Below are 11,293 nucleotides of genomic sequence, written 5' to 3'. Positions count from 1 at the left end.
AAATCCCCCAAAACAGAGAAAGGGAGAGGCTGGGAAGCCCTTCAACCAGAGGCTGAGGACATGGAATCCCCAGGGAGTGCCTGCTGCTCATGGTAGAAGTGGCCAGATCTCGATGCGGCACCTGTAAGAGCCCCCTGCTGCTTCCTGCCCCCAGACCCACTGTCCCCAGAGACCTCTCAGGCTTGCTGAGGAGCATGCATCTCTGTCACTTGCTTTGGGTCCCCTCGGTCACCTCAAAGATAGATGCTTACAGCCCGTGGGTGACCTGCTGTTTCCACCCCCTCCCGATGCCCCTGCCCCACTGGTGTGACCACTGCTCCTGGCTTGCAATGTCTGTGCAGCTATGACAGCCTGAGTTCCTCTCAGGGTGGGTGTCCCTCCTGCAGAAAGCCCGCCCTGTCTCCCAGGCCCCAGCTCTGGTCCTGGGCAGAGGAGGGAAGGACTGGGGTGGTGGCTGATGGATTCTCATGTTGCCTCTTTCCCGTATTCCCCTGGGCTCTTCTCTCAGAACATGCCCCCTGAATCCTGACGGCTCACTGTGTCTCATGTAGGAAGCCCCCAGTGACATCTCGTGCCCTGCACACAAGTCCCTGCAACCTGGGCCCCTCCCCAGCTCTGCTGCCTCACTTTCTCCCCTCCCTCCCTTCCTCCCCACGTCTGACCAGGAATGCAGAGGGCTTGTTGGAGGGAAGCCACGTGTGAGACCCACACAATGCACGAACCCCCGACTGCCCAGACCCTCACCCCATCATCTTCTGTCCTTTCTGCAGTCAACACAGCCCTGGCTGCCACACTGAGCTCTTTTCATGGGGTTATGTCTGAGCAGATGGGCCTGGGAGACAACTCTCTCAGAGCCCTGGAGGGGCTGGGCTGAGCTGGGATGTGTTGTGAATGTAGCAGCCTGGCCTGTGATAGAAACCTCCAGGACCCTTCTGGGAAGGGGAGTCGGGGGCAGGAGAGTACAGGTTAAACAAGGGACGGGCAGGAGCAGACAGCAAGGGTGATTAGTTTTTCTCGAAGTTTTATCACTCTGCTGTTAATTTCCATGTTGCATGCAAAAATGTAGGCACAGGCTCAATTAAAAGTGATGTTCTGGTGCCAACCACACTTTCAATCGCACCCTCTACATGCTGATTTTGACATCTTGGTCGAATCACGGGCTATTGTGCTGCTGTTGTGGAATCCTTGTGTAATTTCCAGAGCTCTCCTACATCTCCAGGCCTTTGGGGAAGAATTGAGACAGGAGTCACCGGCGGCACCCCTCCCCTGAAGTGCTTCTGAACAGTGAGAACGTGAAGATCTCGCCGGTGCTGGGTTGCTTTCTAAGGAATGCAGGCAACAGACACAGTTCAAGGTTTCCAGAGGACCTTGCACTGGGATGTTTGAAATGAAGAATCCAGCAAGACAGGAGCAAAGGAGCTCACAATGAAGGGAAATGTGGACGAGGCTAGAGGCCTGGAAGGTGGCAGTTACTGGGGTCTGTCACTTGTGTAATCAAATAGCGATGGGGAGGATCCCAACAAAGTCCCTTGGGACCAGAACACAGGAGCATGGCTCCCTTCTTAGCTGTGGCTGGCAGATCAAGGCTGAAGAGGTCTCAGTGGTTTATCTCCCGGCCCCAGTGATGACTGTGATGAGTGTGGATGGGTCTCCCTCCACCACTTTTGAGGTTCTGCCTGCAAATCTTACCAGTCTCAAGAATTTCAGGCCGTCCTTGTCCTGGGCGATGACAATAAGTTGAACGATCATGACTCACATTCACGTGATGCTATGTTACATGAATATGTGGATGGATGGACTCAGGAAATGTATTCCTTACAGTTACTCTATGATGACTATCGTCATTCTACAGATGAGGAAACAGGCCTAGACAGGTTAAAAAACTTGCTCAAGGTCACGTAACAGGTAAGTGGTTGGCGTGCCTGTGTGGCAGTGCCACCGGGTGGTCATGAGCACAGCCTCAGGGGCCATCTCATGCCCCCTGCTCCTGTGGCTTCCTGTGTTCAGTGCACAGGTTGGATGGGGCCGCCTTGGCGGTTTCTTCCAGCATCTTCCAGGGGCAGCGCCTCCCGCTCATCCTGCAGGTGTTTGTTGAACAATGCTTGTGCCAGGCATGGTTCCAGGTACTAGGGATGCAGATGCAGCTGTGCCCCAGTTCCTGCCCCCATGGACCTGACACTCGCAGTCAAAGACACGCAACAAGCAAGAAGTCAAAGCGACACTCAAGATGACTTTGGACAGTGAAATGTGCTAGAAAGAAACTTAACCAGGCTGAAGTGGTGGAGCGACGACCGGTGGGGACTCAGTAAATGAGGGGAGGACATTTGACCTGAGTCCTGAAGGAGGAGGTGGAGGAGATCTTGAGACAGGTCTTGGGGGGTGACTTCCAGCAAAGACAGCAGCTAAGCTGAAATCTGAATCACAGCCAACCTCACCCTTCCTGATGGACACTGCAGGACCCAAGGAAAAACTGACTTCAAGCCCTGCCCCCATAAAGATGTCCTTGCAGTTGGAACCTGGGACACATTTCAAGGGCCACATGGTGTAGTGAAGTGTGTGGACCCCATCAGCACCAGGCTTCCTGGGTTGAAATCTCAGCTCTATCACTGACACATTAACTTAATTAGCCTTTCTGGGCCTGTTTCTGCGTTTATGAATGGGGATGATTATGGAACTATTGTGAGGAACAAATGAATAAATCCTCATGCAGCGTTTAAGCACACAGCAGCGTGGAGTGTGAGTGACTGCACACCATGTTAGCAGATGTCCTTGGAGGTCAGAGCAGCCGCTTTTAAACCAACCCACAATTACACTGGACCTCTAGGGCATCTCTGATGATTAAATGGCTTCTTTTCAGAAGGAGCAGGGAAATGACTGCTCAGACATGGAAACATCTGTGTTCTGTCCTGACAATAAATGATATTCCAGAAAAACTGAGGCTTGCTCTGCTTCCTTGGACTGAGGATGGCAAATGTCTGGCTTGTCTCCCCTTTACACTTAATCCTAAGTAACGTGGGGCTGTGGGAGAGATGCTTGGGTTGGGTCCATGAACCACAGGCTCTGATATGGTTTGGCTGTGTCCCCACTCAAATCTTATCTTGAATTGTAGCTCCCGTAATTCCCATAAATTGTGGGAGGGACCAGGTGGGAGATAATTGAATCATGGGGGTGGTTCTTGTGGTAGTGAATAAGATAAAACCATCACAAGATCTGATGGTTTTATAAGGGCTTTCCCCTTTTGCTGCTCTCATTCTCTCTTGTCTGCCACCATGTAAGACATGCCTTTCATCCTCTGCCATGATTGTGAGGCCCCCCCCCAGCCATGTGGAACTGTGAGTTCATTAAACCTCCTTTTCTTTATAAATTAGTCTCAGGTATGTCTTTATCAGCAGTGTGAAAATGGACTAATACAGGCTCTAAGAAGAGGAAGGACTCTGGGGACTATTGTCATGGTTATGTGTCAGGGCCCTGAGGCCAGTCACTCTGGGTTCAAATCCCAAGCCCACCAGGGACCCTGGTTTGTGACTTTGAACAAGTTTCTCAGCCTGTCTAAGCCTCAGTTCTTGCTGGAAGGTCATGGATTTCGTGGTGTAATGAACACACGTGACACAGGTCATCACGGAAACTTCTGACCTCCCAGCAAGAGTGAAGCCATCTGTGCTCAAGACTTGGCTCAGTCTCCACTGAGTCCACTTCATGCCGACACCCCCAAATCAGCAAACCAGGGCGCTGTGCCCCTCAGACAGACACTGAGATGGAAAAGACCCTCTTTCACACACTCCTGTGGTTGGGGTGGAGCGCTGAACATAGACAAGGGTGGAGGGGATGTTTGCCGATCCCCAGCCAGGACAGCGTTTCAATCTGCGTGTTTCCTTCTGTGCTCTCCTTCTGGAGAAACCTTGACATTTCACTTTTTTTTCTCTTTTAGTCTGAGGGGCGGTGGGCCATGGGCTGTGTTGGAATAAAAGCCCTTGGAAGAGTTGCTTCCCCCAGCCAGATTGCAGTGTCAGGAGTGTCAGGTCCATGGGGCAGGGACTGGGGCCCAGCTGCATCCCTAGCACCTGGAACTGTGCCTGGCACTGAGCATTGCTCAAAAAACACCTGCAGGATGAGCAGGACGCACTGCCCCTGGAGGGTGCTGGAAGGAACTGCCAAGGTGGCGCCATCCAACCTGCTCGATGGACATGGCTCCTTAGGAACTGACAGCCAAACACATTAACAACCGAGAGTCAGAAGTTACAGTGGGAAGGTTTTCTCTCAGGATAGAAGTGTGGAGAGTTTGTGCCCGTGAAATCTTGGTAGGGAGTCTTTTGTCAAAAACCCAATTGAGGCCGGGCGCGGTGGCTCACACCTGTAATCCCAGCACTTTGGGAGGCCGAGGTGGGCGGATCATGAGGTCAGGAGATCGAGACCATCCTGGCTAACACGGTGAAACCCTGTCTCTACTAAAAATACAAAAAAATTAGCCGGGCGAGGTGGCGGGCGCCTGTAGTCCCAGCTACTTGGGAGGCTGAGGCAGGAGAATGGCATGAACCCTGGGGGACGGAGCCTGCAGTGAGCTGAGATTGCGCCACTGTACTCCAGCCTGGGTGACAGTGAGACTCCGTCTCAAAAAAACAAAAACGAAAACAAAAACAAAAAACAAATTGAATGCCCTCAACCTACCTGTTGCTGTAACTGCAGAGGTGCCTGGAGATAGTTCAGGTGGCAGATGCCATGTGGCAGACAGACGCTGTGTGGCAGATACTGCATGATGCTGGGCGAAGCTGTGTTTTTGGTGGCAGTGGGCACAGCAGGACCCTCCACACTGGGAGCTGGGCTGTGGGACCCCCAGGTCTGGTGCTCTGACCTCTCAGCTGTCAACCTCCAGAGAGTCTCTCAGCCTTGCCAAGTCCCCATCGTCTCAGCTTTGCAAGGAGAAGCATGATCCTATCTTGCCACCTCCCAGGGTTGTTGGGGGAATCATCTAAATAATCAGATATAAAAATGCGTTTGTGGTGTGTGAGGTTGCTTTATAACTAAAATTATTCAAAAAATCTGACATCAAGTGTCCAATTCATGACTCATTTTCATACCAGTTTTCAGGTAAATTATTGCAAAAGCAGCTCCTAAGGGACTGTAGTCCCTTACACTGTGTGGTTTTAAGTGCTTTGTCCATGATCTTTAGTAAGAAATGTATTTTGCATCACAAGCCATTATGCACTCATATTTATATTTTGAAGACAAAATATGAACACTTCTTACTTTTGCCATCTGATAATATCCCATCCCCTCCCACCCATCCCATGCCATCCATCTCATCTCATCCCATCGCATCCCACCCCATCCAATCCCATCCCACCCCACCCCATCCCATCCCATCCCACCCCACCCCACCCCATCCCATCCCATCCATCCCATCCCATCCATCCATCCCATCCCATCCATCCATCCATCCCATCCACCCCATCCCATCCCATCCCATCCATCCATCCCATCCCATCCATCCATCCATCCCATCCCATCCATCCCATCCATCTCATCCCACCCCATCCATCCCATCCCATCCCATCCATCCATTCCATCCATCCCATCCCATCCCATCCCATCCATCCATTGCATCCATCCCATCCCATCCATCCATCCCATCCCATCCATCCCATCCCATCCATCCATTCCATCCCATCCATCCATCCCATCCATCCATCCCATCCCACCCCATCCAATCCCATCCCATCCCATCCATCCCATTCCATCCCATCCATCCCATCCATCCCATCCCATCCATCCCATCCCATCCATCCCATCCCATCCATCCATCCCATCCCATCCATTCCATCCCATCTCACCCCATCCATCCTATCCCATCCCATCCATCCATCCCATCCATCCATCCCATCCCATCCCATCCCATCCCACCCCATCCATCCATCCATCCCATCCCATCCATCCCATCCCATACCATCATGCTCCACTCCACTCCTTCCTATTCCACTTATCCCAGCTTAAAAATACTGTTCAAGATGCACTAAATAGATTTAAGGACCCACAGATAGCCCACTGCCTGCAGATTTAACGCCACTGCCTTATCACTGAGCATATTCTCATGGCTTTTGCTGCAGTGGGTGACTTTTCTCTGTTGCCCAGAGAGGAGGAGTGAGCTCCCTGAGTCCAGGGCAGCGCCCTTTATTCTTCTTGTATTACCCATCAGGCATAGTGCCTGGCATGGAGTAAGTGCTCCAAGAACGTCTGCTGGCTGGGTACCATGAATCCCTCTCTCCTTTTCTCACATTTTGTTATAACTGTCTCAGTTTAGGATACTGAATGCCTTCCCTTCTCTTTGCAGAAATAGTGAAGATTTAATGAGATTCTTTGACAGGTGTGAGAGCTTAGAACTAAATGGGTTGGCACCCTGTGGAGAGCCCTGCCCAGCTAGTAATGCTGTTGGGAGCATGTCTCCTCCTTCCCCCACTTAGTTTTAAAGGCATTTTTTAAGTGTCAGATTTGCATGCAAACCCATGTGAGTGGGAAGGGGTGAGGGTGTTTTATGCTGTCACAGTGGTTAGGGAAAGAAGTGATCTACTGACCTCTATTGAGCATGAGCCAGGGACATGAAATGTTCTGCAGTATCTCAGACAGTTCCACACAATGAAAATTGCCCTGCACGAAATGCCAAAGGCACCCACAATTGAGATGCTCTGAGTGCGACTCGAAGTGTCAAAGTCAACTCTAGAATAGAAGAGGTCACAGGAGAGTTTGTTTCATCTCCTCCCACTCCTATTTTATTTCTTTGCAAATATCAGAATCAGTAAGGCTTACATCCAGGGAGGCTGGCCCTGGGACAACTGGTAGGCATGTTTTGGAGAACTGCCTGGCCCTGATATGCCAGCCAGATTCGGCTCCAGGAGAGGCACATCCCCACAGATTCAAGCTCCTGGCGTCCCTGGTGGATAGAATGCACTGTGGCTCTAACTACCGTGGAGGGAGGGAGCCACGCTCCTTCGGCTGCAGTCACACCTCAGCATGCCTTTCTAAGTTCTAATCACTGCCCAGCCACAGAAAATGTGTCCCCTCCCTGTGCACAGTTCTGGGGCTCTGAGCTCCCTGGGAACCATCTCCCAGGAATGAGGGAATGCAAAGCTCAGACCCTGCTGCCCTCTTCCCACCATGGGCTGGGCTTTGAGGGCAGGTGGATTGGCTCCTCCTTTCAGTGCCAAAGCCAGGAAGTCCCAGGCAAACCAGGGCCACTTGGTCACCCTGTTCTGCACAAAGCCCCCTGAGCTGGGGTGTGGCTGAATGGAGTGAGCCAGCTGGATCTTCATAGCCAGAGTAAAGAATTCCATTCCAGGCTGGGCACAGTGGCTCACACCTGTAATCCCAGCACTTTGGGAGGCTGAGGCGGGAGGATCACCTGAGGTCAGGAGTTCGAGACCAGCCTGGCCAATGTGGTGAAACCCCATCTCTACTAAAAGTACAAAAATTAGCTGGGCGTGGTGGTGCACGCCTGTAGTCCCAGCTACTCCGGAGGCTGAGGCAGAAGAATCGCTTGAACCCAGGAGGTGGAGGTTGCTGTGAGCCGAGAACATGCCACTCCAGCCTGGGCAAAAGAGCGAAATTCTGTCTCAAATAATAATAATAATAAAGATTTAAAAAAATTAAAATTCCATCCAGACAGGATGGGGAGACACTGAAGGAATGGAGCAGGGTGTCATGCTTGTGACTTGCTCTCTTAAACAGCCCCTGGCATCAGTATGGTGAACCAATCCTAATGAAGACAGAGTGAGTACCTGGAGACCAGTGGGGCTTGTTGCATTCATCCAGGTGAATGAGGCTGGTGGCTTGGATGAGGGAGGTTGTAGGGGATGTTGTGGTTGCCACCTGATCTTCCCTTTGGGACTTGGTGCCCATTGCCCCAGGAGCCAGGAGTGTTGGCTGCAGACAGCTCACAGCAGTGTCCCTCGCCAGGAGTTGCCAACCTATAAAGGAAGCTGCCATGACCTAGGCTGCGACCTCTCCCTAGAGGCAGCCAGCATCCCACAACTGGGTGACTCAGGAGTGCAAAGACTCAGCCCCTGTCCTCAACCATGCATAAGTCTGAAAGGCCATCCCACTGCCAGGTCCGGTGGATCTGCTGAGGCCTTAGTTGTAACTGCCGCCTCTCCCTCCTCCCTCCCCTGCCTCCTCAGCATCCTCACACATGCTATGCTGGAGACACCTCAGTAAACTATCCACTCACCAATTCCATGTCAACCACTGGGTCCTGGTAAACCCCATCTGCAGGGAAAGCCGTGAGAACGTACAGACACACACAGACACACACACTCACTGAAGTACAATCTACACAGAGCAAAATGCACAAATCTTAAATGCACAGCTTGCTGAATTTTAAAATATATACTCATCTTTGTAATTCAGAAGATTTCCTTTGCTACTAAAAAAATCCCCTTGTGGCCTTTTGCAGTAAATAATACCCCCAAGATAACTACACTCCGACTTCCCTAATACTTGATGATTGTAGGTTAATTTTTTGTTCATTCTTGAGCTTCATATAAATTTCATCATAAGTAGGCACTCTTTTGCCCACCTATGCTTTGAGATTCCCCATGTTGTTGGGTTCATGGACTGTTTGTTCTTTTTCACTTCTGTTTCAAGTCTGTTTCTTGTAAACAGCTTGTAGTTGGGTTTAGGTCTTCATTGGTTTTCTTATTTTAATCTTGTGTGCTGATCTCTGCCTTTTAAGTGAAGGATTTAGTTCATCTCACCTAATCTTTGTTCTTTTGGTCTTCCTTTTCTGTCTCTGATTAATCAAGTGTTTTTCATTACTCCATTGTATTTCCTCTGTTGTCTTTGCATCTATACGTTCCTAATTTGTTGCAATTAATCTTCAATTAGTACCATACTTATTCATGTGCCTAATAAGAACTTTACGACAGTATAATTCCATTTTCCACTCTTGTCTGTTCTATTATTGTCATATGTTTTCCTCTACATATGTAATAAAACTTACAATACATTGTCGTTCTTGTTACTTTAGATCAGTGCTTTTTAATGCAAGTAGTGTTTTCTATTCAGCCACATAGTTATCCTCTTGCTGTTCTTCATTCCTTCTGTGGACTGTGGATGTGTGCTTTCGTCTGAGATCATTTTGCCTAAGTCTGAAGAACTTTCTTTATAATTTCTTAATAGGGTAGATCTGTTGGTATCAAATTCTCTCAGATTTTATTTGTTTGAAAAATATCTTTATTTCAACTTCTTTTTTTTTCTTTTTTTGAATTTATTTTTTATTTTTTGAGACGGAGTGTTGCTCTCGTTGCCCAGGCTGGAGTGCAATGGCGCGATCTCGGCTCACTGCAACCTCCGCCTCCTGGATTCAAGTGATTCTCCTGCCTCAGCCTCCCAAGTAGCTGGGATTACAGGTATGTGCCACCATGCCCAGCTAATTTTGTATTTTTTAGTAGAGACGGGGTTTCTCCATGTTGGTTAGTCTGGTCTCAAACTCCTGACCTCAGGTGATCCACCCACCTCAGCCTCCCAAACTGCTGGGATTATAGGCATGAACCGCTGTGCCTGGCCTCAACTTCATTTTTGAAGATTATTTATACCGGATATAGAAATCCAAGTTGGCAGTATGTTTTTATTAATCCCCTAGCACTTTTGTTACTTTAGTAAAAGGAGCTTGTTGCGTAATGCGTTAGAAGTCAATATTATGTCACAGGTTTTTGAGAAAATAGAGGTTTTATATTGAAAGTCAACTCCCAAGAAGATAGGAGTCGGATTCAAATCTGTCTTCTTGTGCCAACCTCAAGGCAGTATTTTCATTAGGAAATACAGTGGGTGGATTTCAAGATTAGTAAGTGTTGGTAAAGAAAACGGGAGGTCTGGAAAATCCTTGGGCGTGTGTAGTTTTCTTTTATGTTAACTCACGGGTAGCACGTGTAAATTTGGAGAAGAGTTAGTGTGAAACATGGTGGAAATTTAGGCTGTGACATCAGCAAGCGCATCTGTGTAAACTCTAGCTGGCCATCTTGGTTCTAACTGATGTTAGCCGGTTTTAAAATTTTATAAGTGGAGGGAGTTTCAGCATTTCAGGAAGTTGTTTTTTCTTCTTATCTGTTATCTTGAAAACTCAATTTTCTTTTTCTTTTTTTTTGAGACAGAGTCTCACACCCTGTTGTCCTGGCTGGAATGTAGTGGCGTGATCTCTGCTCACTGCAACCTCTGCCTCCTGGGTTCAAACGATTCTTCTGCCTCAGCCTCCTGAGTAGCTGGGTTTATAGGTGGGTGCCACCACGCCTGGCTAATTTTTGTATTATTTGGTAGAGATAGGGTTTTGCTATGTTGGCTAGGCTGGTCTCGAACTCCTAGCCTCAAGTGACCTTCCTTCCTCAGCCTCCTGAAGTGCTGGGATTACAGGCATGATCCACTGCATCCAGTCAAGAATTTTTGTTAGTTACTTGTTACTTACTCTTTAAGAGCACAGTTTCAGTTTTTGTTTTTTTTAAATCTGTTTTAAAAATCAGATATTTTGTTTGTTTGTTTTAAAAATCTGTTATCCTGTAAGCCCAAGAATTTAGTCATTGGCTTCTTTAACCCTTTGGGACAGACACAGTTTTACTTTGAAAATACAATTTTTATCCTTATGATTTCCATGATTTCTGAGAGAAGTCACCCATCATTCTGATTGTTCTGATGTATAGGATATATTTTCTTTAGCTGTCTTAAAGATTTTCTCCGTATCTTTGATTTTTAGAAGTTTGATTGTAATGTACCTAAATGTAACTTCCTTTGTATTTCTCCTACTCAGCATTCACAGAGCTTCTTGTTTTTTTTTTTTTTAATTGTTTTGTTTTAGACAAGGTCTTGCTTCATCCCCAGGCTGGAGTGCAGTGGTACAATCTCGGTTTGCTGCAGCCTCTGCCTCCCAGGTTCAAGTGATTCTCCTGCTTCAGCTTCCTGAGTAGCTGGGCTTACAGGCATGCACCACCACCCTTGGTTAATTTTTTATTTTTTGTAGAGATGGGGGTTTGCCATGTTGGCCAAGCTGGTCTCGAACTCCCGACCTCAAGTGATCCACCCACCTCAGCCTTCAAAAATGCTGGGATTACAGGTGTGAACCACCATGCCAGGCCATAGAGCTTCTTGAATCTGTGGCTTAATGTCTTTAATCAATTCTGGGGAAATTTCAGCCATTTTAACTGTCAATATTGTTTATTCTCTATTGCCTCTTTTCTTTCCTTCTGAATCTCCAATTATACATATGTTTGACTGTTTGATGTTGCTCTACACTTCTTTCTTTTTCCACTTCAGTTAGATA

The 11,293-nt window shown here is 48.3% G+C and overlaps 1 annotated feature.

Moving 5' to 3' along the window:
- Positions 249-810: an enhancer, noted in NCBI's record as "H3K4me1 hESC enhancer chr20:47083129-47083690 (GRCh37/hg19 assembly coordinates)". NCBI's record gives its function as "activates a minimal SCP1, AML or CMV promoter by ChIP-STARR-seq in naive H9 embryonic stem cells {active_cell/tissue: H9 hESC(naive)}" and the evidence as "EXISTENCE:reporter gene assay evidence [ECO:0000049][PMID:30033119]".

This window comes from Homo sapiens, chromosome 20 (assembly GCF_000001405.40).
Source record: "Homo sapiens chromosome 20, GRCh38.p14 Primary Assembly".
Lineage (NCBI taxonomy): Eukaryota > Metazoa > Chordata > Mammalia > Primates > Hominidae > Homo > Homo sapiens.
The sequence above is the reverse complement of the archived record's forward strand: the minus strand, read 5'-3'. Positions and strand labels throughout refer to the sequence as shown.